At 35.0% G+C, this 27278-nt stretch overlaps 3 protein-coding genes, 1 long non-coding RNA gene and 1 pseudogene across 6 annotated transcripts in view; all 5 read right to left on the minus strand.

The window, feature by feature from the left end:
* Positions 1 to 27278, minus strand: part of PRH1-PRR4 (PRH1-PRR4 readthrough) — a 325777-nt gene that overhangs the window by 189268 nt on the left and 109231 nt on the right. The window contains exon 2 of the long non-coding RNA NR_037918.2: positions 11904 to 12072. This is a non-coding gene — a long non-coding RNA (PRH1-PRR4 readthrough). The remainder of the gene's footprint in view (positions 1 to 11903; positions 12073 to 27278) is intronic.
* Positions 1 to 27278, minus strand: part of PRH1 (proline rich protein HaeIII subfamily 1) — a 290647-nt gene that overhangs the window by 154152 nt on the left and 109217 nt on the right. For all 3 annotated transcript variants that reach the window (NR_133575.2, NM_001291315.2, NM_001291314.2), the window contains exon 2: positions 11904 to 12072. Coding sequence is in view for 1 of the 3 variants with exons in the window: in NM_001291315.2 (NP_001278244.1) it covers positions 11904 to 11939 (36 nt within the window). In the remaining 2 variants the exon portion in view is untranslated. The remainder of the gene's footprint in view (positions 1 to 11903; positions 12073 to 27278) is intronic.
* Positions 1 to 27278, minus strand: part of PRH1-TAS2R14 (PRH1-TAS2R14 readthrough) — a 234202-nt gene that overhangs the window by 97707 nt on the left and 109217 nt on the right. Inside the window, exon 2 of the mRNA NM_001316893.2 lies at positions 11904 to 12072. Within this exon, the coding sequence (NP_001303822.1) occupies positions 11904 to 11939 (36 nt within the window). The 5' untranslated portion in view covers positions 11940 to 12072. The remainder of the gene's footprint in view (positions 1 to 11903; positions 12073 to 27278) is intronic.
* On the minus strand, positions 13190 to 14198 carry TAS2R63P (taste 2 receptor member 63, pseudogene; annotated as a pseudogene).
* Positions 26249 to 27178, minus strand: TAS2R46 (taste 2 receptor member 46). The gene has a single exon (NM_176887.2). The coding sequence runs from the start codon at positions 27176 to 27178 to the stop codon at positions 26249 to 26251; it is 930 nt and encodes a 309-aa protein (NP_795368.2).

A 27278-nucleotide genomic window follows, 5' to 3' on the forward strand; every position in this document is an offset into this window, starting at 1 on the left:
TTGGTCTTTGATGTCCTGTCATTTTATGTTAATTTGGTTTTAGTTATCGTGTCTGAAGTCTGATAGTTTCTAAAAATATATGAACTGATATACTTTATCACTTTTGGAAAAATCTCCACATTGCTTCTGCCCCATTTGTTCTCTTCTAATTTTCGGGAACTGCAGAAGTATGTTAGTTGTTCTGATTGTAGCTTCACTGTCTCTGACCCTCTAGCCTTATATTTTCTATCTATTCGTCTCTTTATCTTCATTCTGGGTAGTTATCTTCAAATTCACTAATTCTTTCTTATGTTTAACTGGTTTTTAACTCTATTGGATTCTCAAAATTGATTACTCTTTTTGTTTTTGTCTTATTGTTTTAGAAGTAGAAATGAACTTTTGTTCTCCTTATATAAATCATTTTTCTAACGGAGAAACTAAACCAAGTATTCCTAAAACCAAGTTATTAAAAAAAGAGTTTTTTTAAACTTTTAGTATACCTGACATGAAAATGGTAACCATATTTTTCTTTTTGTAATACTTTGGTCAAAGAAGAGAATAAAAGCAAGATCTAGGCATTCTCCTGCAACTTAGAAGAAACTGGAAATTGATTTGATGTCAGTAGCTTTTTTTGGATAGTATCTTATCTGTTGCTGGGTCATCACCACAAACTCTTTTCACAGGCAAATTCAATGAGCAGCACTGGATCTCAAAATGTCATTAAAATTAATTAAATAGAGCATCTCAACCACAGCTCCACCACTCTATTCCATGATTTAAATTTTACGCTGTTTTTGCTTTGTTTTGTTTTGTTTTTTGAGACGGAGTGTCGCTGTCTCCCAGGCTGGAGTGCAGTGGCGCGATCTCGGCTCACTGCAAGCTCTGTCCCCCGGGTTCACGCCATTCTCCTGCCTCAGCCTCCGGAGTAGCTGGGACTACAGGAGCCTGCCACAACGCCTGGCTAATTTTTTGTATTTTTAGTAGAGACAGGGTTTTACTGTGTTCGCCAGGATGGTCTCCATCTCCTGACCTCGTGATCCACCCACCTCGGCCTCCCGAAGTGCTGGGATTACAGGCGTGAGCCACCGCGCCCGCCCTATGCTGTTTTAATTAGCAGAAATCAAAACTTCTTAGTTTATAACAATCATTGAAAGATCAAATAGTAAAACAGTACTTACGAGTTTATCAAAAAATGAAGGACATCTGACATAAGTAGACTTTAAGTCCCATGGAAACAAAACTGAATCTGGTGCTTCTATGGAATTCCACCATTTAATCCTATCCATGAATATAGTTTTGGTTATAGAACTACAACCTTCTAACTCCATCATCACTCACTCAAGTGTGACAGAAGATCTGGGGTCTTACCTCTGTTTGACAGTTTGGTCCTAAAATCCGCTCTTTAGAAATAAAAGCGTGCTCAAAAAATGTGTTACTCGCTTTATCTTTCTTATTAAGGAATTTTATTTACACGAAAATCTGAATTGTTTCTATCATGATCATAGTGAAAGGAGGATTCATTGAAGGTCATCCATAAATAATTATTTGCATAAGCAATGTATTGTAAAATAAACTACACTTAATTTCTAAATCTAAATGTATTGGAGCTTGACTTGAACTTTGCTGTTTACTATTGTAACTTTCCCACAATGATGATCTTTTTAAAATTACTTATTTTCCAAATTATGTATTTAAATATTTCAAAAACAAACCACTTCATGATATAGATGAAGATATAGACGATGATGATAATGATGATGGCAGGTGAAAGGGAGAATGCTATTTGATCAGTGTGATTTCAGGCTTGTTTCTAAGTACTGGAGCTCAGCGTGATGAGAGAACACTACTATTCTTCCTCATGGCCTCATGATTCTTCTATGATTCTCAGCATTAGGCCTAGACAAGTACCCTCACATGGTATTTCATCAAGAATAATGTAAAACCAACATATTTTCAACGATTTATTTGCTTTTTTTTCTTTTACTACATTTTAAAATTCGATAAGAAACACGACCTCCAACAATTAGGATTCTATTTTGGGATTTTTTTTGGCATTTTTGAACACTAACATGGACAAATAGTCTATGCAATAATACAGTATATCAACTTTAGTTTATCTTTTAATAGCATCATTAGCAAGCCAAATTCTTGCAAATGCTTTTTCCCCTTCTTAGCTATGGTGACTAAATCTGGATCATTTTACTATAGCAGTCAAAGTTGAATTATATATGCACAAACATACTCAAAGATCATGCTAAATATGTTTTATACGTTAAAAAATTTGCCTTTCTATGGTATTTTTCTCTAATGTAGAGCCAAAAAATTTATAGTAACAAAATATTTAACCCAACTTACAGGTGTACATGTGAATAGTATTGTGAAATTAAAATGCTAAAAATATGAGTATAAATATTTCATTTAGAGACACATTTTTGGATATATTTATTTAATTTAATATCCATCGTAGTATAATTTATTGGAAATTCATGAATTTCTAACACTTTCAAATGTGTATCATAAATAATCAAATTGGAAATAAAAAGTGTCTATCAATAATAAATATTCAAATTTTGATGTTTCAAATTCATATTAGCATTAAGAAGGTGGATTTACAGTTCTTGCTTATCTCTCCTTTTTTAAAATTAATTTAAGAAAAGTTTTAGGTCAGGTGTGGTGGCTCACACCTATAATCCCAGCATTTTGAAAGGCTGAGGGAGGTGGATTGCCTGAGCACAAGAGTTCAAGCCCAGCCTGGGCAACATGGCAAAACCTTGCCTCTAAAAAAAAATAGAAAAAATCAGCAGGGTGTGGTGGTGCACACCTGTTGTCCTAGATATTCAGGAGGCTGAGATGGGAGAATCACTTGAGCCCAGGTGGCGGAGGTTGCATTGAGCCAAGATTGCGCTTGTGCACTCCAGCCTGGGCAACAGAGTGAGACGCTGTCTCAAAATAAAAAAAGAAAAGTTTTAAATTTTAATTTGGATTTCTTAGTACCATAATGCTCTATTCTCCTTTATTCAGCAAAAACTCTAATTACAATGGTATCTATGAGAATATGCTGTATCACCCTAATTTTATACTTAGAAATATACTTTATGTTTCTGCTTTTTTAACATTTTTTATTGTGGAGCATAACATACACATAGAGAGTAATAACACAACAGAAACAGAAAGAGAAAAAATTGTAACGTTAACATGGATGTTACCACACATTGGCAAGAAAAAAGAATTTGCCAGCCATCCAGATAATCCCAATATATGTCTTCTTGCTGACATTTTCCTCCTTCTTGACTATCCCAGTTGTTATGATGATCACTCATATGTTTCACTACAGAGTTTTATCACCAATGTAATAAATTACAATTATTAAAAAGAATGTTTTTCAAACTTTATGTAAATGAGATTATACTAAATGTATTTTTCCATCTTGATAATTCTTCTCATATCTGTATTATTATTTATGTAGCTCAAATTTGTTCATTTTCTCTGTTGTATTATTCTGTTGTAAACATGTCAGTCTTGTTTGTTAATTTTGATCACTGTATAGTATTCCATTGTATAAGTATGCCACAATTTGTTTATTCATTTGGAGGACTGATAGACATTTGGAGGACTTCTCAACTTTAGCTATTGAAACTCAGTGATATGCATGTGAATGTATATGTATTCTGATAAGAGTATAAATGCTGGGTCTTAGGATGTGATCCTTCATCTTAATCAGATAATGCCATACTCGGCCGAAATGATGTCACAGATTTATAATTCTAGGAGTGGTGTATGAAAATTCCCATTGTGTCGTATCCTTTCCAAAATAAGTAATGTCAATTTCAAATACTCTTTTGTTATAAGCAAGTGTACTTATACTGGAGATATTTCCTTTAATCAATCATTATGTCAAATGACTTTGAAAAAATATAATTAGTTAACAGCATACTGTAAGGGATATTTCAGGATTGTTGAACAACTCTTAAAAGGACTCAAAGAAAAAAATATTGAAATATAAAAATAGTCTACAAGCTTAATGTAGGTGTCCATGGGAAAATATAAATATATTATTGTTGTTATTGAAAAAATGATTGGTAGTAAACTTATCATGTCTGAATTTTTTTAAAGGCAGGCCTGATATCCTGACGAGATTCCCTTTACCTGACTTTTACTTCTATTCCTGATTCCTAAGTGTGCAGTAATGTTGTTTTTCCTTTTAAATTCTGTGACCAATGTCAAACAGGAAAGCATCTCAATAGGCCAACGGATGTAATCAATGCTCTCTTTATGGAAAATATGATAATTTCCAAAACAGCTCAAATTAACTCTTGTTCAAACACAATGTCCTTGCTGTAAGATAAAATTTTCCACATCGTTGTTGAAGTAAAACCTGAATTCTCATCTACTAGCATGCCAATGAAGAGTTTTTTAAATGTTCTGCAATTTTTTCCTTGTTTAAACTCTCCATAATTTGTGTTCAGCAATTTAACAACCCAATACACAGATGACACATTGGTTTTATTACCTGGTAAAGGGAGCTTGGGCATAACTAGGATCATCACCAAAGTAGATTTATATTTTCAACGCCAGTAATATGTAGAATGAATCCCGTCTTTTCCTACCAAAAGCATTTAAGGTTTTCTTGGGAACCTCAGAAAGGCCAATAATCCTTAAATCCTGGTGGCTACTAATACTTTTGTATAACTTATTGTTTACAAGCTCATTCATACAAACACATTCACAAACATACACACATACATACATACTCACCCCCTCATGGATAGAAGGAATTTCTGTCCTCTAATTTCCAAAATGGAAAATTAATTACAGGGACATCATCCAGGTAGAAATAGCCCTGCTTTTCCACTTGGGCTTTTCAGACCATTTTCAATATTTATCAAACTTATCGCTCATGCTGAGGCCTTTGACTAAGTTTTTCTCTAGAGCCCAGTTAATACTTAAATATTTATTGTTTAATTAAAATACTCAGCAATTGTGTAACTATTTTGGGTGACTTGAAAAACACATGTTTCTCACTGAAGAGTCTAGAGTTCTTTGTATATGAATATTTGGTTTCATTTTTCTCCGTTTAATTTATTTTTGATTACTTAAAGGATTAAGAGGAATAGATGTTAAAATCAGTCTCCAATCTTGGATTTTATTTCTTTTCCATTTAAAAAGTATAATTGTTTCTAAGAGAGGATTTTGGAGTCAAACTGCCAAGACAGGAAACCAGATTTTCTGCTTCACATAGCTATGCTCTGAGACTTCATCTTATAACTACTCTGTGCCTCAGTATAATCATCTGTTCATGATGAGTTCATGTCCTTTGCAGGGACATGGATGAAGCTGGAAATCAGCATTCTCAGCAAACTAACACAGGAACAGAAAACCAAACACCACATGTTATCACTCATAAGTGGGAATTGAACAGTGAGAACACACAGACACAGGGAGGGGAACATCACACACCTGGGCCTTTTGGAGGGTGGGGAGCTAGGGATAGCATTAGGAGAAATACCTAATGTAGATGACGGGTTGATGGGTGCAGCAAACCACCATGGCACATGTATACCTATGTAACAACCCTGCGTGTTCTGCACATGTACCCCAGAACTTAAAGTATAATTTTAAAAAATAGCTACAACAGGCTTTGAAGACATAGACAGTACAATAAGATATTAATAGTGAAAACAAAAAGTTAAAACCTGAGAAGATGGAGTTAAGGTGCAGAGTCCTCATTTGTTTTGTTTTTGTGCTTGTTTGTTTGCTTATGTAAACAGTACTAAGTGGTTATTAGCTTGAAATGATGGGTTAGAAGATAGCATTTGCAAGCCTCATGGTAATCTCAAACCTAACAGCATAGAATGGATACACAAAAAAATAAAAAGCAAGAAACTATATCATATCACCAGAGAAAATAACCTTCACTAATGAAAAATAGGAAGGAAGGAAAGAAAGAATAGCAGACTACAACATAACCAGAAAAGAAATAATAAAATGACAGAAGTAAGACCTTACTACCAGTAATAACGTTGAATGAAAATGGACTAAACTCTCCAATCAAAAGACATAGTTTGGCTAAATGGAAAAACAAAACAAAAAAAAACTCCAATCTGTTGCCTCTAAGAAACACACTTTGCCTATAAAGACATGCACAGAGAGAAAATAAAGGGATGGAAAAAGATATTCCATGTCAATGCAAACCAAAAAAAAAAAAAAAAAAAAAAACAAAAAAGTAGAGTACCTATACTAATATTAGACAAAATAGTTTTCAAGACAAAAACTATGAGGACATAAAGAAGGTCACCATATAACGATAAAAGGGTCAATTCACCAAAAGGATATAGCAATTGTAAATATATGTGCACTCAACACTGGAGCACCCAGATATATAAAGCAAATATTATTAGAGCAAAGCAAAGAGAAAAGCCTCAATTCAATAATAGATGGAGACTTCAACATTCCACTTTCAGCATTGGACAGATCCTCCAGACAGAAAATCAACAAAGAAACATCAGACTTAATCTGCACTATGGAACAAACTGATTATTAGATACTTACGTAACATTTCACCCAAAAGTTGCAGAATAAACATTCTTTTCCTCAGCACATGGATTTTTCTCAAGGATAGACCATATGTTAGATCACAAAACAAGTCTTAAACAATCCAAAAAACTGAAATATTGCCAAGCATCAACTCTGGCCACAATGGGATAAAACTAGAAATCAATAACAAGAATAATTTTGGAAACTATATAAACACATGGAAATGAAACAATATGCTCCTGAATGACCAGTAGGTCAACAAATAAATTTAAAAGGAAATGGAAAATTGCTAGAAACAAATGATAGTGGAAACAAAACATACCAAAATCTATGAAATACAGCAAAAACAATACTAAGAAGGAAATTTACAGCTATAAAAGCCTACATCAGAAAAGAAGAAAAATTCAAATAAACAACCTAATTGTGTATCTTAAAGAACTAGAAAAACAAAAGTAACCCAAACCCAAAATTAGTAGAACACAAATAATAAAAATTACAGCAGAAATAAATGAAATTGAAATGAAGAAAACAATACAAAAGATCAATGAAACAAAAACTTGTTTTCTTGAAAAGTTAAACAACATTGACAAACGTTTAGGCAGACTAAGAAAAAAAGATCCAAATTAATAAAATCAGAGATGAAAATGGAGATATTACAACTGATACAACAGAAATTCAAAGAAATATTAGTGACTAGTATGAACAACTATATATCAATAAATTGGAATCTCTAAAACAAATGGACAAATTCCTAGACACATACAACCTACAAAGATCGAACCATAAAGAAGCCCAAAACCTGATAAGACCAAAAACAGGTAATGAGATAAATTCTGCAATAAAATGTCTCCCAGTTTAAAAAAAAAAAAAAAAAAAAGCCTGGGAGCAGACGGCTTTAGATCTGAATTCTACCAAACATTTAAAGAACTGATGCCAATCCTACTCAAACTCTTCTGAAAAAATAGAGAAAGAGGGACTACTTCCAGGCTCATTCTTTTTTTTTTTTTTTTTTTTTTTTGAGGCAGAGTCTCACTCTGTCACCCAGGCTGGAGTTCAGTGGCATGCTCTCCACTCACTGCAAGCGCCACCTCCCGGGTTCACGCCATTCTCCTGCCTCAGCCTCCCGAGTAGCTGGGACTACAGGCGCCCACCACCACGCCCGGCTAAATTTTTGTATTTTTAGTAGAGACGGGGTTTCACTGTGTTAGCCAGGATGGTCTTGATCTCCTGACCTCGTGATCCACCGAACTCAGCCTCCCAAAGTGCTGGGATTACAGGCGTGAGCCACCAGGCCCGGCCCAGGCTTATTCTTGAAAATCTTATTACCCTGATACCAAAACCAGACAAAGACACATTGAAAAAGGAAAACTACAAGTAAATATCCCTGATGAACATTGATGCTAAAGTCTCAACAATATACTAGCGAATCAAATTAAATAATACATTAAAAAGATAATTCCTCATGGCCAAGTGGGATTTATCCCTGAGATGCAAGGGTGGTTCAACATACACAAATCAAAATCAATCAATGTAATACATCATATCAACAGAATGTAGGACAAGAACCATATGATCATTTAAATTAATGCTGAAAAAGCATTTGATAAAATTCAATATTCCTTCATGATAAAAACCCTCAGAAATCTGAATATAGAAGGAAAATCTAAACATAATAAAAATCATATAGAAAGACCCACAACTAGTATCATACTGAATTGGGAAAAACTAAAAGACTTTCCTCTAAGATCTGGAACATGCCAAAAATGCTCACAATCACTGCTGCTATTCAACATAATAGTAGAAGCTCTAGCTAGAGCAATCATGCAAGAAAAATAAATAAAGAGCATCCACATAGGAAAAGAATAAGCCAAATTATCCCTGTTTTCAAACAATATGATCTTATATTTATAAAACCTGAAGACTGTACCAAAAAACTATTAGAATTGATAAACAAACTCAATAAATTTGCAGTATACACAATTAACATAAAAATTAGTAGTATTTCTATATGTCAATAGTGAACAATCTGAAAACAAAATCAAAAAATTAATCCCACTCACAAAAGCCACACATAAAATTAAATAGCTGAAGATTAACTCAACCAAAGAGATGAAAGATCTCTATAATGAAAACTATAAAACACTAATGCAAGAAATTGAAAAGGACACCCAACAAAAGAAAAGATGGTCCATGTCCATGGATTAGAAGTATCAACATTGTTAAAATGGCCATACTACCCAAAGAATCTACAGATTCAATGTAATTCCTATCAAAATACTAAAAACATTCTTCACAGACATAGAGAAAACAATCCTAAAATTTATATGGAGCCACAACTGACCCAGAATAGCCAAAAGTATCCTAAGAAAAAAGAACAAAAGTGGAGGAATCATGTTACCTGACTTCATATTATACTACAGAGGCTGTAGTAACCAAAACAGCATGTTACTGGCATTAAGACAGACACATAGACCAACGGAATAGAATAGACAACTTGGAAACAAATCCACACACCTACAGTGAACTCATTTTTGAAAAAGATGCCAAGAACGTACACTGGAAAAAGACAGTCTCTTCAATAAATGGTGCTGGGACAACTGAATATCCCTATGCAGAAGAATGAAACTAGTCCCATATATCTATACAAATATCAAATCAAAATGGATTAAAGATGTATCTTTAAGACCTCAAACCATGAAGCTCCCATAAGAAAACTTCAGAGAAACTCCCCAGGACATTGGTTTGAGCAAAAATTTCTTGAGTAGTAATACCCCACAAGCACAGGGAACCAAGTCAAAAATGCACAATTGGGATGACATCAAGTTAAAAAATACTTCTGCACAGCAAAGGGTACAATCAACAAAGTAAAGAGACAACCCACAGAATGGGAGAAAATATTTGCAAACTACTCATCTCACAAGGGATTAATAACCAGAATATAAAAGGAGCTTTAACAACTGTATAGGAAAAAAAAAATCTAACAATCTGATCAAACAATGGGTGAAAGATTTGAATATGCATTTCTCAAAAGAAGATATACAAATGTCAAACACACATATGAAAAGGTGAAAAGGTGCTCAACATCATTGACCATCAGAGAAATGCAAACCAAAACTAAAATGAGATAGATATCATCTCAACCCCGTTAAAACAGCTTATATCCAAAAGGCATGTAACAAGTGCTGGTGAAGATGTGGAGAAACGGGAACCATTCTACACCTCAGGTGGGAATATAAATTAGTAAAACCACTATGGAAAACCATTGAAAGTTTTCTTAAAAGACAAAAATTAGAGCTACCATATGTTCCACCAATCTCACTGGTGTGTATATACCCAAAAGAAAGGAAATAAGTGTATCAAACAGGTATCTACACTCCCATGTTTGTTGTAGCACTGTTCACAATAGCCATGATTTGGAAGCAACCTGAGTGTCCAGCAACAGATTAATAGATAAAGATAATATGGTACATATACACAATGGAGTACAATTGAGCCATTAAAAAATGAGATCCTGTCATTTGCAGCAATATATGGATAGAATTGGAGATTATTATGTTAAGTTGAATACATCAGAAACAACTGCAATGTTTGCACAGAAGGCATGGACATAGAGAGTACATGGATGCTAAACAAAGGCTGGGAAAGGTAGTGGAGGCTAAAGGGAAGGAGTGGCTGGTTAATGGTTACCAAAAAAAAAAAAAAATAGAAAGAATTAATAAGACCTACTATTTGATAGCACAGCAGGGTGACTATAATCAATGATAATTCAGTTGTACATTTTAAAATGACTGAAAGAGTATAACTGAATTGTTTGTAACAAAAAAGAGTAAATGTTTGAGGGGATGGCTACCCCATTCTTCATTATGTGACATTGCATGCCTGTATCAACACATCTCATGTACCCAATAAATGTATGCACCTAGTATGTATCCACGAAACTTAAAAATACATTTTAAAAAAAGAAATTCCTAAACTTCCTATATCTGTTTACTGATAAGGTAAATTAATATGTCCACATAATGTTAAAATACCAAAAAATGTAAAATTATGCTTTCAAATAAACTGAATACAAATTATGAAAAACTCCACATATTGACAGTAATTATTTTCTCTAGCCTATCAGCTTAAATTTAATTTCCAAGATTCCTGGTGCAATTTAAGACCTTAGACTAATATTAAATTCAGTGAGTTGATGAAAATCTTCAGATAATTTCTAGTTAAGTTGGAATACTGAAATGTGGTCACCAATCAAAGGTTATATAATAAATAAATATAACTTTTATTCTTATATTTTATGGAGTGGCTATTTGTTTGGATTACACTATGAAACATGGGGGTTTTGTAGACCAATTCAAGCAAGTGTAAAAAGGATGTATATGACTATAGAAAGTTGTAATATATGCGCTTGAGAATTTTGCACATCTGCCAAAATAGTTATTTTTAATAGTCTTCAATTACATAACTTCCAGTTTTCTCCTTGAAAGAGAATTACTTTGATTAGTGTAATTAATAAAAGTAGGAGTTAGAACCAAGGTAGAAACCAGAATGGACAAGGAATATGACTGTTATGAAAGGTAATGGAATGTAGTTTAGGTTTTCAAGAATAGAGTATCTTTGCCTAAAGTAATATGTTTTGTTGCTATCTCTGTCTTCACTGTGCTTGATGATAACTGAAATCTCAATTTAATTATTTTAGCTGGGCTACATGAAGTCTGCCCTATACATGCATGGTATAGGGACCAGACAAAGCTTTGGATAGTTTATATTCAGAAGTTGGGGCTCCCCTTTTCTGGCCTTCTCCTTTCTCAGATTTTCTCCTGACCTCCTGCTGCTCGTGTTATGCCAAACTCAGTCCTCTGTTACTTCAACCCAGTAAGTCTACAGTTTTCTTCTGACGTTTTAGTCCTCTGCCTGGTGCACACTAGGGCCAGCTATAAAATCAGGAAACTCACTCCTTGCTATTCCCTTCTTCCAAGTGCTGACCTCTCTCTAGTATCTGCCTATTTTGTTCATTCTCCATTGCCAATGAATGGCTGTTTTTTTAAATATTTTATCCAGAATTTATAAAAAGTATCTGTGGGAGGCTTGGTCCTATGGGTTTTATTTGATCTTTAGTGTAAGAAAAAAATGTTGTATGTATATTTTTCTACTTATCATGTTTCCCTCTTTCTTTGGCCCACTATTTCATGTAGAATACATTGACAGTCATTAGTTTTACAACTTAGTCTACAGATTCTGAATTATAGAGAACAGCTCATGATGGAATTGGGGAGAATATTGGCATCATCCGGAGATGATACATTTGTATCAGGATGAAATTGGAAAAGGGAGCACATTTCTGAATCATCAAGATTAGTGGTTTGAAAACACGTCTAAGTGCTTTGACTCACCTCATATGGATAGATGGAGTCTATTCCCCTCCACATCCAAACTAGCCTTCATGATGTGTTAAGTAAATGTTCTGTCACAGAACTGACACAGAAGAACTTCCAATGTTTAAAAAGCTGGCGCCTTCTTGTCACATGTGCCCTTGGGGCCTTGAGCCAAATGCTGGAGAACCTATGTCAAGAAACAAAATAAAAATAGAAAGAGATGCTTGAGGAGCCTCAGCTCACTGCCCACCCACAATGAAACATATGATTAATACATTTCCTATCATCAATATATAGATTAGACAGATAATTTTCAATATTTGCAGAATGTTTCATTCAATTGTGATCCATAGTTTATATACCCTGTTTACATTGAGTTTATTTTAAGAGAGGGAATAATTGAATTTTTTTGAGAAATATTAAGAATGGGAGACAAAGGGAAAATTGGAAATTCAAGGGCTCAGAGGTGGCTAAGCAAAATAAATGGAAATACTTGACATCAGATGTCAATTTCAAAAAAAAAAAGGTTTTCTTTAATTCAAAAAGTGGAAGAAACAACTTTTCTAACTACACATTAAAAAATTATAACAGCACTGAAAGTATCATGATCATGTATCTTCATTCCTATTATAGAAATGATTTTTTTCTAATCTATTCACATACTACTATTAAATCCAGTATCCTTTAGAACAGTTTTTGGTATACACATACAAAATTTACTCTACTTATGTATGTATGTTTGTCACTCAAATTTTATTGTGTGCATCATTAGCTAACAACCATTCTATTTGCTTTATAATAAATATAAAATAAGAATTCATAATGAAATAAAACCTACCCCAAAGATCCATTCTCATCATTAATTTAGAATTGAATGTTTTTACCATCCAAAAAATTAGAGGTTCAAACAATGATAGTTAAGTACATATATGTGGTACAAATTACAATGGAAAACAACAATGATTTCCTGATAAAAGCTGTAAGTTCCTAATTATAAATAGAGGTAATAAATTCTTCACATGAAATACCATAGGATGAACTATCATAAAATATACCTACATATATATGTGAAATATACTCGGCTTCATAATTTGTGGTCAATGTTGTTATTCACACACATGCACACATATACCCACACACATATATGTGTGTGTGTGTGTATAGATAGATAGATAGATAGATAGATAGATAGATGACTTTTCTAGGTATCTGTTTTGAAATTATTCAAATATATACACTAAGGAAAAACGAATGGAAATATAAAATGTTCCAGATACCGTCAGTTTGTTTTCAGCTAAAAGATACACAATGCTCCCTTTGTGAATCTATGGAGTTGAGGGTTTCTGTCCTTTCACTCAGCATTTCACCTGTCACAAAGCTGAAAGAAAGGTCTGTTTTGGCTTCCTACTTCCCATAGTCAGGATGAATGAGTGGAACAAAAGATACATGAATCCAAGAGTTTGGTAAAGCAGGAATACAAGTTTGCTCTGCTGAGTCCTAGGATTCCAAGTTGATGTGATTAGACACAGAAAGTAAATGGCAAATAACATAAGGAAGGAGATCACAGTTTGCAAAGCTTTTATGTGCACCTTGGTGCTGAGATGTTGAGATCCTTTGCCATGGAGCTGCATCTTCTTGACATGTTTACATGGAGAATAGATTAACAGCAGAAAAGATATTAGTGTCAGAGTGCAGGGTGTGACGTTTGCTGGCATGGTTACAGTCAAGTTTGAAAGCTGTATTGCATTCCTCAATTTGATCATCCAAGACAAATTTCCTTCATATTCTTTTGTCCACACACTCTCACCCGTGGTTATCAGAGCAAGATTACAAATGAAAAATACCAAGGGCCCCAACAGCATCACCAAACCAACATTCTTAATCCTTTTCTTTAGGTGGAGAAAAATAAGGTTGGAGAAATTGGCAGTCTTGAGCAAATGAAATATGCTGAGGCTAGTAACACCCAGATGCTGAAATGCTTGGTTATTGCTGAGACATTAGAACCAAAAATTCTTACTTCTAATCTATGTGAAGCCAAATTAAACACAGTTGCATACCAATGTAATAATATGACCCAGAGTAAACCAACTCTGGACACCACCAGAGCAGTGAGAAATTTGGTCAGCTGATGAGATCTTTTGTGTCTTAACCCACTCAAGGACACCTACTAGAGCTATGAAGCCATTGGCAACATTTCCAAGAACAAATGCAAACACTACCAGAATTGATAAAATGATGAGCAGAAAACATATCATGTTTGAACAAATGAAAAGAAAGAAAAAATGCAGCCTTAATAACACTGGTTGTGATTCCCTTAATATCCAGACCTTAATGTCGATAAACACTTGACTTTTAAATGTGTAGTAACATTTTCTGCCTTTAAATTCATGACTAATTTCAACAGGAAAGCACCATCATATGCTAATGGATGAATTCAAAGCTGTCTTTATAGAAATAGAAAATATTCTTATTCTCAAAACAGCTCAAATTCACTCCTCTTCATACACTGTCTGTCTTACTATATGCTGAAATATTTTATATTGAGGATGAAGTGAAAAGTAAATTCTCATGTGTTAGTATGCAAATAAAGGCATTTTTTTAATTGTTTTGCAATTGTTGTCCTTGCTAACCTCTCCATAATTTGTGTCCAGCATCGTCAGTTGTTACATAGGGAAATTTTAAAACCCAATACACATATCATACAGTACAGGTTTAAATTGTTTAAGGAGCTTGGTCATAACTAGGATAATACCAATATGGTTTGTTTAATACCAGAATCTAAACCTTTTATCAATATCATCCAAGATTATTTTGGAAAGTCCTGGGAGGCCAATACACCTTAAAATCTGGTTTCTGATAACCAATACATTTATATGACATCATTGTTAATAAGCTCCTCAATACATAGACACACATGCACTGACACACTTAGCAGATGCAATGAATTATTTTCTTATAAATCCCCAATTGGAAAACGAGTTTCCCCAGGAGGTCATCTAGGTGGAATTAGTCATATTCCACTCAGGGTTGTCAGACAATGAATAATATTTATCAAACATGTTTCTCATGCTTGGGCCTGCCAAGACCAGCTCGGTTGTGGAGACCCTAATCCTGTGGCGCCAGAGGAATTAAGACACACACAGAAATATAGTGTGTGGAGTGGGAAATCAGGGGTCTCACAGCCTTCAGAGCTGAGAGCCCCAAACAGAGATTTACCCACATATTTATTGACAGTAAGCCAGTGATAAGCATTGTTTCTATAGATTATAGATTAACTGAAAGTATTCTTCAGGGGAAACAATGGGATGGGCCGAAACAAAGGGATGGGTCTGGCGAGTTATCTGCAGCAGGAATATGTCCTTAAGGTGCAGATCGCTCATGCTATTGTTTGTGGCTCAGGAATACCCTTAAGTGGTTTCCTGCCCTGGGTGGGCCAGGTGTTCCTTGCTCTCATTCTGGTAAACTCACAACCTTCAGCATGGGTGTCATGGCCATCACGAACATGTCACAGTGCTGCAGAGATTTTATTTATGGCCAGTTTACTGGGGCCAGTTTATGGCCAGATTTGGGGGCCTGTGCCCAACATAGGCCTTTGGTAAATTTATTCTCAAGTCTGTTTTTTGTTTAAATATTAATTATTTAATTAAAACAGTCAGCAATTTTGCAAATATTTCTAAGTACGCTACACTTTGTCATATAATCCTGCAGTATCCTCCCACCACAGGCAGGGTGACTACCTGGAACTTGGACTCTGAATTCACTCATGTAATTTGCTTCAGTGAACAGGAAATTAGTAGACTTTACACAGAGATTTAAGACGGTTTCCATATTGGAGTTTCTTGCTCTTTTCCATTCACCGTGAGAACATCATCTGGTGAGTACACTGTTCCCAGAAGAAGAATGAGAAACTAATGGAGTCAGAATGCCACTGCTTTATCCAGCCTAAATCAGCCAAAGTAGCTTCAAGATGCAGAATGTGGCCCATCTCCAATCACCACAGCCATCCACCAAACCTAGCTGACAAAAATGAAATCCAAAGACATATGAGACACAAATATCTAATGCAGTTTTGGAGGATTTTCTCTTGCAGAAAAACTTAAGTGATATAGGTATTCTGCTAAGCCAAGCGTGTGGGAAACATGTCCACCCCTGTTGTGTCAGGAATTCAGGATCCAAGGGAAAAATAGATGGAAAATGTCAATGTTTTGTCACATGAAGTAGATAATTAAAACTAGAAGAAATATCTACTGAAAAATCTGGGGTTGGCAGGAAACATCTTGTCAAATTTTCAGTAGTCACAACTAAAATCAAAAATTTTCTAATTAAAATCTTTTAGAGCTGTACATGAATGTATACAGTGTATTTTTCCCTTTGGTATATAATGAGCAGAGTAATAATAATTTTCATGGAACATTTCTTCTGATTAATAATTTTTATATTATAACTAGACTGCACACTTAGAAATGAGCCAAAACAAAAATGGAAAACATAGCAATATGTCATAAACACTCATGTAACCATCAGGTAGGGCAAGACATGGAATGTTGCTAACAGCCTAGGTTTACCTCAATGTGTTTCCATCCCTCTACACCTTTCTTCACACCTCCTGTAATACGCAACGTCCATAATTTATGATGATCATTTTTTAAAATTTTTCTTTATACTTTACCAACTAGGTATGCAACCCTAAACTCAATAGCTTGGTTTGGTCTGCTTGGAACTCTGTATAGATACAATCCTATATGTTCGTATTCATGGCTTCCTGTGCTCAACATTATGGATCTGAAATGTAATCACATAACTGCATGTACATGTGATTCATTTCTTTTCACTTCTCTATGTTTTTTCATTTTATGATTTTATTGTAATTATTTATTCATCCTTATTTGATGTACATATGGGCAGCTTCTTTTCTGAGCTGTTAGAATAATTCTACAATGAGCATTCTTTCACATATCATTTGCTACAATTCCTTTGCATTTATATAGCTGGGTGTAGAATTACAGGGTCCTTGATTATGACATTCAAATTCTCCTCACAGACATAGAAAAGCCCAAAACACAGTTTGACTAAATTTATTCCTGTCACCTTTATCTCCAGTCTCTTTATTGCTATTTGCATATATCTTATCAATTATACGTTTAATCCAACAAGACAATATTGTTTTATACAGTCAACATTTATTTAGAATTACACACTTATTTTTCGTCATTAATTTTTATTGCTCCTTGCATGTTCAACTTTGTATTTTCAGTAATTTTTATTATATCTGAAAAATATCATTTTCAATTTCTGTTTATGAAGGTCTACTACTCTTTGGAAACACACTGAAGACATGATTCCTTTGAATTCCTCCTTCCATATTTTCTGTTAAAATCAGGTTGTATTTAGAATGCAATTCTTATCAACATACTCTATCTTCTACCTCTAGCTACTTTTCAGATTTTCTACTGGTCTTTGGTGTCCTGTATTATTTTTTGTTAACTTGATTTTAGTTATCATGCCTGAAGTTTGTGATTACTAAAGATATATGCTGGGATACATTTTCACTTTTGGAAAAATCCCTGCAACATTTCTCTCGCTCTGTTTTCTCTCCTCTAATCTTACAGAACTCTACAAGTATGTTAGGTGTTTTGATGATAGCATCAGTGTGTTACCCTCTAGCCTTGCATTTTCCATTTCTTTCTCTCTATGCTTCATTCTGTGTAGCTATCTTCTAATTCACTAATTATCTCTTCTCGTGCTCTAACTGGTTGACTCTTTCTATTGGATTCTCAGTACTGATATTTCATTTTTTTAGTCTTATTGTTTTAGTGTTCAGAATAATCTTTTATTCTCTTTCTGAACATTATTTTCTATAGGAAAACTGAACAAACTACTCTTAACACTCTGTTCTTTTTAAAAATGTTTCTGATTTTTTTGATTTTTTGTTTTTTGTTTTAGTATGTTAGAAATGAAAACGGTAACAATTTTCTTCTTTTCCCAACACTTTAGTCAGAGAATAGAATAAAAGCTTTGTGTTAGAATTTACCTTCAATTTGAAAGAAACTGGAAATTAAGTTGATGTGAGTAGCTTTTTTTGGATATTAGCTTGTCTGTTGCTGGGTCCCCACCACAAACTCTGCTCAAAGGGAACTCAAAGAGCAGCACTGGATTTCAAAATATCATTGCAATAGATAAAATATAGTTCATTAACCACAGATACATCATTGTATTCCATGACATAATTTTCACTTTGCTTATGTTGTTGAAAAGGTGCTCTGTGCCTTTGAATTACATCATTATCCAAATGATATAGACAAGATGTGGGGGAGAGCTTACTTCTGTTTGATTTATTTAGCCCTAAAATCCTCTCTTTAGAAATAAGAGCTTGATCATGAAATGGTTTATTTATTTTTCTTACTAAGCAATTTTATTTATACTAAAATCAAAATCTTTTTATAGTGTTCCTTGGATTAGTTTAATATCATCTATAATTGTTTTCTTAAGCAATGTATTTTAAACTACACTACACTACACTTAACTTTCTAAATCTCAATGTATTCAGCCTGACATGAACTTTGCTGTTTACTAATGTAACTTTCCCACAATGATATCTCTTGGAAATTACATAGACATTACCCAAATTATGTATGTAAATATTTCAGAAATAAATCATTTAATAAGACAGATGTAAATGTAGATGATGATAATAATGATGATGATGTCACCTGAAAGGGAGAATGTTACTAAATAATTGTGATTCGAGTCTTCTTTTCAAAGCACTAGAGTTAAGGGTGGTGGGAGAACACTATTATTCATCCTCATGGCTTTACATTTTGTGTGTGTGTGTGTGTGAGATGGAGTTTCGCTCTTGTCACCCAGGCTGCAGTGCAATGGCACAATCTCAGCTAACTGCAACCTCCGCCTCCAAGGTTCAATTGATTCTCCTGCCTCAGCCTCCCAAGTAGCTGGGATTACAGGTGCTGTCCATCACATCCAGCTAATTTTTATATTTTTAGTAGACAGTGGGTTTCACTATATTGGCCAGGCTGGTCTGGAACTCCTGACCTCAGGTGATCCACCAGTCTCAACTTCCAAAGTGCTGGGATTACAACCATGAGCCATGGTGCCTGGCTCGATTCTTATATTATTCTCAGAATCAGGCCTAGACAAATACCCTCACATAGTATTTCATCAAGAGTAACACAAAATCAACATATTTCTAATGATTTGCAAGATATTTTTTCTTTTACCACATTCTAAAAATTACCCCAAAAGTGACCTCTAGCAAAGAATACTCTCTTTTTGGCTGTTTAATTTTATTCCACTTTTATATGAACTTACACAAATACTCTGTGCAATTATAAAGTGTATAAGCTTCATCTTTTAATAGCATTATTAACAAGTGAAATTCTCTCTACTGTTTATTTTTAATCTCAGCTACTGTCACAAAATCTGGGTGATTTTATTACAGCAGTCAAAGTAGTTACACTAAATATGCTTTATGCCTCAACAAAATTATCTTTCTACTAATTCTTCTCTAATATTCAAAAACTTTGTACTATCAAAATATTTTTCCTCACATATGTGTACACATGCATGGTATAATCTTTGAATGGTAAAAATGGGCATAATTATTTCATTTAGAGATAAATTTATAAAAATTGTCCTGTGTATTTAATATCTATATTACTATAATTTATTGGAAATTCACTAATTTCTGCCTCTTTGAAATGTTATCATAAATAATGAAATTGGAAATAAGAAAAAAAGGTGTCTAGTGTAATACAGATGCTCAGAATCTGATGTTTCTTTTTTTTTTTTTTTTTTTTTTTTTGAGACGGAGTCTTGCTCTGTCACCCAGGCTGGAGTGCAGTGGCGAGATCTCGGCTCACTGCAAGCTCTGCCTCACTGCAAGCTCCGCCTCACTGCAAGCTCCGCCTCACTGCAAGCTCCGCCTCACTGCAAGCTCTGCCTCACTGCAAGCTCCATCTCCCAGGTTCATGCCATTCTCTTGCCTCAACCTCCGGAGTAGCTGGGACTACAGGCGCCTGCCATCAGGCCTGGCTTATTTTTTGTATTTTTAGTAGAGTGTTAGCCAGGATGCTCTTTTGTTATGAACACATGTAATTATACTAGACATACTTCTTTTAACCAAATATTATGCCAAATGACTTTGAGAAAATATGATTAGTTAACAGCATACTGTAAGGCAACTTTCAGCATTGTTTAACAACTACTTAAAAGGACCCAAAGAAAATAATATGTTGAAATATCAAATAAGTATATAAGTGTAATGAAGGTGCCTATGGGAAAATACAAATTCTACCATTACTGTTATGGATAATAATGATGAGTAGTAAACATACCATGTCTGAATTTTTTTAAGGCAGGCCTAATATCAATGGGCAATATTCCCTTTAAGGTCCTGACCTTAATTTCTATGTGCACCTGATTTCTGATTGTGCAGTAATGTTCTTGTTCCTTTTAAATTCTCTGACTAATGTCAAGCAGGAACGCACCGGGCCATGCTACTGAATGAGTTCAAGGCTGTCTTAATGGAAAACATGATAATTTCCAAAACAGCTCAAATTAACTCCTATTCAAATGCTGTGACCTTGTTATAAGATAAAATGTTTCATGCTGATGTTGAAGTAAAAGCTGAATTCTCATTTGCCAGCATGCAAATCAGGTCATATTCTTATTCATCATTTTGCCATTTATTCCTTGTTTAACCTCTCTATAATTTGTGCTGAGCAATGGCAGTTGTAAGGGAAATTTTCTAACCTAATACATAGATCCTACATCAGATGCCTACACTGTTATATGCAGCTCGGTCAAAACTAGAATCACGACCACTGTTGATTCACCTTTTCTGTGCCAGATTTAGTGAGTCCTAACTTTTCCTACCAAAAGCATCCAAGGTTTTCTTGGGAAGCCCAGGAAGGCCAATATTCCTAAAAATCTCGTTGCTGCCAACTAATAATTTTGTATAACTTATTGTTAACAAGCTCATTAACACAAACACGTTCACACACACACATACACACACCTCATAGTTGGGAAATATTATTGTCCTATAATTTCTAAAATGAAAAAATAATTTTCTTACTTGGGCTTTTCAGTGCATTTTCAATCTTTATCAAACTTAGCCTCTCATATTTAGGACTTTGACTAAATTATTCTCTTGAGCCTAATACTTAAATATTAGTTGTTTAATTAAAATACTCAGCAATTTTATAACTATTCCTTGGGCACTTAAAAAACATGTTTTCCATTGAAGAGTCTACACTTCTCTGTGTATGAATAGTCAGTTGTATTTTCCTCTATTTAATTCATTTTTGATTACTTAATGGTTTAGATGAATAGATGTTAAAATCAGTCTCCAATCTTGGATTTTTATTTCCTTTCAGTTTTTACAGTATGATGGTTTCTAAGAGGGGATCTTGGAGTCAGACTGCCAGGACAGGAAACCAGATTCCCTGCTTGGTATAGCTATGATCTGAGACTCCATTTTACAACTACTCCCTGCCTCAGTATTATCACCTATAAAAAGCAGATGATTGGCCAGGCCCGTGGCTCCCAGCAATTTGGCAGGCTGAGGCAGGTGGATCACCTGAGGTTAGGACTTCAAGACCAGTATGGCCAACATGGTGAAACTCTATATCCACTAGAAATGCAAAAATTAGCCAGGTGTGGTGGTGCCCGTCTGTAATCCCAGGTACTCAGATGGCTGCAGCAAAAGAATCATTTGAACCCAGGAGGTGGAGGTTGTAGTTAGTCGAGATCACACCACTGCACACCAGCCTGGGAGACAGAGCTAGACTCCGTCTCGAGAAAACAACAACAAAAAAAGCAGATGATAATAAATCTGTCTTTGGCTAGTTTTCTTATGAGTTAACATACTATTTGTATAACTGCTTTCCATTTTACCTTTTTGCTATAGGCAGGAACCAAAGATTGTTAATTATTGATTTGAACCTGTTTTACTTGATATTTAAGACACCAGTAAGAACTTTCACTTTTTTTTTTTTTTCTTCTTAGACAGAGTCTCCCTCTGTTACCCAAGCTGGAGTACAGTGGCAGGATCATAGCCCACTACAGCCTTGAAACCCTGGGCTCAAGCAATCCTCCTGCCTCAGTTTCCCAAGTATTTGGAACTATAGGCATGCAGCACCACGCCAGCTAATTTTTCAATTTTTTGTAGACATGGAGTTTCCATATGTTGCAAAGGGAACTCCTGCTCTCAAGGGATTCTCCCACCTTGGCCTCCCAAACTACTAAGACTACAGGCATGAGCCATCACATCCAGCCTGCAGGGGGAGGTTTTGAAGGTCAGATGCTACCTAGAGTTTTGTCTCATGTCCATCCCAAGGTGGATCTAATCAGTTTGTAGTTACTACCTCTTCCTGAACGTGTAATTGAACTGGATACGTATGGCAGCTGGCAGGACTTTCACATTCTTCGTGAACTGTAGAGTAAGGGACATTATTATAGCAGGACCAAGTTGAAGCCTCTGAAATTCTCCACTGCTGGCAACCCAATGTATAAAATATAATAACCGCATTCCCTAAGGAATGGAACTGGTCACTGCCGTGACAAAACACTTGCAAGTTACAGGGGATGGTAGTCCTTTCTATAACCGGATTCACTTAACCTATCTGGCCTCTACCAAAACCAGATGGATTATAGAATGAGTGCAGATTACCATAAACTTCAATCAACACTCACAAATGCTTTCTAGGATGTACTGTCTTCACAGAGCAGAGCATAGCTTCTGGCACTTTTTACGGGGCTCGTCATTTGGTGAATATTTGTTAATCTACACCCTTTATGAGGGAAAATCAAGACAATTTGCCTTGTATTGTAAGAATAATAGCACTGCTTCACTGTTTTATGTCAGGACTATGTCACTTCTGTTCTCTGTTTAATTTACATTTTTTTAAAAACATCATGCTAATTTAATATATTAATAATATTACAGCCCGGGCCCTGTGGCACATGATTGTAATTCCAGCACTTTAGGAGGCTGACTTGGGCCCAGGAGTTTGAAACCAGCCTGGGTAACATGGTGAAATCCCAGCCCTACAAAAAATACCAAAATTAGCCAGGCAAGGTGGTGTGTCCCTGCAGTCCCAGCTGCTAGCAATGCTGAGGAGGGAGAATCAACTGAGCCCAGAAGGTTGAGGCTGCAATGAGCTATGATCCTGCCACTGCACTCCAGCCTCATGGACAGAATGAGACCCTGTCTCAAATAATAATTATATATTATTTGGTAAAATAAACAGGAAGAGGCAAGATTCTTAATATTGTAAAATACTATAACATTGAATGGAAGTAAAATACCAGAAGAAAAGAGATATGTGAAGATTCAGGGACTGACAACATAGGTGATGTTTTCAGGTTTTCAGTGTCCCTAGTCCACATGTCAAAACAATCTTTTTTAAAGTAAACGGCATGTTGCTCTCTCTCTATATTTCCTATCACTACAAAAGAGACACAGTGTTTTGGGGGCCTACTGGGATTTTGGAGCCAACATATTCCACATTTGAGAATATTGCTCTGACTCATTAATGAAGTTTCTATAGGCTACTGGTCTCAAATGGAGCCCAGAACAAAAGAGGGCTCTACAGCAGATATAGGTTCTGATCCAAACTGCTATGGCCACTGAGCCAAATGATCCAGCAGAATTCAAAGCTGTTAGAGGCATACATAGTGGGCATTATAGGACTCTGTGCACGTCTCTGACAAGCCTGTGGGAGAGGGGAGAGCAAATCCCTATGGAATTAGTGCAAGACCATTCCCTCTTCAGCAGAGGAGTATCCTCTGTGCAACTGTGCAAGTCATATGCTCATAAAGCCAGCCATGACTGGAGGGCATGAGTACATCTGAGCGGCACAAAGAGTGGTGGTATTGGACACAGACATGTGCTTTCTTAGATTCCCTTCACTATCTCCTATTCCCCTGGCCAGCACCTTGCCTGATCCAGATCATCCTTCCATTTGGGACTTGAATGGAACACCACACTGTGGGCATGAGGTCTGACTTTCACAACCTCCACCTAGGGACTGGATGATGGAAGGCAGAACAGCAGAGATGGTAGTTCTGCCTCAGGGAAACAATGGCCAATGGGAAATCAAATACAGAAGACAACTGAGCAGATACATTCTCCATTCTCCCTCCTCTCTCTCATCCCTGGACTAATGCCGGCTGTGGTTTCCCCTTGTAGCCCTTCTGGAAAAGTGCTGGGAGCCAAGTGTACGCATCTGATGACCGTCATGCTGTCTCTCTCACCTCACTGTGAAGTGGCTGCCAGCAGAGCCATACCAGACATCACCACACATTGTTTCACATTTGTTCCTGTCTCAATTTCCACATATCCTTGCCATTTTTGTCTTGAACTTGATTTCTAAATAAATGTCATCACCTTAATAACAGGTAATACATAAAAAACATTTTAGTAAAGTAGCTGGTTACTAACTCAATTTTTAAAATGAAATGCCATTTTTGTTTAAATAATAATCAACTAGAAAATATCATAATACAAATATATAATTCACAATAGAAAAAAATACATATTCAAATAGACCAAGGTTGTTTATACGCTTTCTAAAAATATTGTAATAGGCGCCATCTAATTTTGATGTTCTACCTTGTCTCCAATTCAGACACCTGATACAGTTGCATCAAGACTATATTATTGTCATATTTCCCCTAAAATTGTGGAATAGCCAAACTTTTCCTCTGCGGAAGGATTCTGCTTGGATAAGCCTGTAACCTTAACCTGAGAACAGAACAGGGGAATTCATGCAACTGCAGATTTTGTGATGAGTTTCCCTTTCATTGGTTTACCACATCAGCTTACCCATTTTATCCACCCATTTATTTGTTCATTAAAATATCATTTTTGACCATCTATTCTTGTTGCTGGGTTCTAGGTCCTGGGAGTCAACAGAAAGCAAGAAAGAGATGAGATCATCTTGCTCTCTGATCTTACATTCAACAGAAAGCAAGACAGAGATGAGATCATCTCTGATCTGATTTTACAGTTCTTACATTGTACTGAGGAAGATACATGATTTTAAAAAAACACATAAATCACATGTGGGGATGATTTATCTTAAGGTTTAAATCACATTTTTAAAATTTCATAACACCAAAATTAATACAGTCATGTAGAATTTAGCTGTGAACAAGACTGTACATTTCCATCTCATAATAGAACTTCCTATTAATGAATATGTCAACCACTTTCATTTCATCATTGACAACAAAATTATAACTGTAAAGCACATTCTATAATTAAAACATAGATTTCATAGATGCCATTTTAACATTTACAAAAATTTCATTGATTTATTTTCCATAATTTCTATACTATTTTTACATTGATAGTTTTTTTTTAGAATAAGGAAGATTTGGGTTCTGTTACCTGAAGTTTAGAAGGAATTTTATAAATGGAAGGTAAGGGTATAATTAACAATTCAGGGGCTTAAAAGTGCTTTAGAAAAAAATACTAAAATAGTTTACATCACCTCTCAACTTCAAAAAAAAAGCTTTTCTTTAATCCAAAAGCTGGAAGAAATGACTTTTCTAACTACATATGGAAACTGATAATAGCAATCAAGATCACAATCATGATTTTTCATCCCTATTATAGAAGAGATTGTTTTCTAAGCTATTCACATGCTTGTATTAAATCTAATATTCCTCAGAACTGTTTATGGTAGACATAGTTGAAACTTACTCTACATATGCTTGTCACTCAAATTTTATTGTGTGCATTGTTTTCTATCAATAATTCTGATTGCTTTTTACTAAACATAAAATAGGAATTCATAATGGAATAAAACCTCAAAGACACATCCTTATTATTGATTTAGAATTGAATGACCTTACCATCCAAAAAGTTACAGGTTCAAACAATGAATTCGAAGCACACTGTGGTATATTTGTGTGGTTCAAATAACAATAGAAAACAGCAATGTCTTTCCTGAGATAAGCTGATAGTTCTTAATAATTATAAATATAGATCATAAATTATTCAAATGAAATATAAAATACATAAATGAAATAGGTATGGATTCATAATTCTTAAGAATTTTTGTCATATTTTGTATAATTTGGCAGTTTGTGTGAAAAAACAAAAAAGAGTATGTCACTGTCAATGTTCTTTTGTTTTTCATACAAACATACACACAAAAATACATATATATACATACGCACTTTTTTAGACTAACGTTAGGTAAAAGACTTTTCTAGGTACATGCTTGAAAGTTATTCATATACATACATTACAGAAAACACAGTAAGAAATATAAAATGCTTCATATAACACGTTTGTTTTCTGCTAGAAGATACACAATGCTGCTCTTGTGAATCTATGAAGATGAAGGCTTCTCTCCTTTCACCCAGTACCTCACATGCCACAAAACTGAAAGAAAAGTCTGCTTTAGCTTCTTGTTTCCCCAAATCAGGATGAATGGGTGGGTTGAAGGATAGCTGAATGCAATAGCTTCGCAGAACATGAAGACAGGTTTGTTTTCCAGACTCTCAAAACTCCAAACTGACATGATTATGGACAGAAAGTAAATGGCACATAACAAGAGGAAGGAGGTCACAGTTTGCAAAGCTTTTATGTGGACCTTCATGCTGGGATCTTGAGATCCTTTGCCATGGAGCTGCATCTTTTTGAGATGTTTACACAGAGAACAGATTAACAGCAGAAAAGATATCAGGGTCAGAGTGAAGGGAACTAAGTTTGCTAGGATGGTTACCGTTGTATTTGAAAGGTACATTGCACTCCTCAGTTTGATCTTCCAAGTCATGTTTCCTTCATATTCTTTTGTCCATATAATCTGATTCATGTTTATCACAAAAAGATGACAAACCAAAAATAGCAAAGGCCCCAATAGTATCACCAGAACAACACTCTTAACTCTCCTCTTTAAGTGAAGAAAAATAAGGTTGGAGAAATTGGCAATCTTGAGCAAATAAAATATGCTGAGGCTAGTAGCAAGCCAGTTGCTGAAATGGTTGATTACTGCCCAGACATTGTAAGCAGTAATTCTTACTTCTATACTGTTAAAAGCTGGATTCAACTCAGTTGCATACCAATTTAATACTAATACCCAGAGTAAACCAACTCTGGAGACTGCCAGAGCAGTGAGAATTTGGTCAGCAAAAGAGATCTTTTGTCTCTTGAACCACTCAATGGAATTTACCAATGCTATGAAGCCATTAGCAAAATTTCCAATCACAAATGTAACCACTATTAGAATGGAAAAAATGATGGGCAGAAAAGTTATCATGTCTGAACAGACAAAAAGAAATTTTTAAAATGCTGGTGTAATATCACTGGTTGTGATTGCTTGAATATCCTGACCTTAAATTCTATATGCACCTGATTTG

Source organism: Homo sapiens, chromosome 12 (genome assembly GCF_000001405.40).
Source record: "Homo sapiens chromosome 12, GRCh38.p14 Primary Assembly".
NCBI classification, from domain to species: domain Eukaryota; kingdom Metazoa; phylum Chordata; class Mammalia; order Primates; family Hominidae; genus Homo; species Homo sapiens.

What these genes read in the sequence shown, in the direction of transcription:
- TAS2R46 (NM_176887.2), bottom strand. Translation starts at nt 27,178, where the DNA reads ATGATAACTTTTCTGCCCATCATTTTTTCCATTCTAATAGTGGTTACA.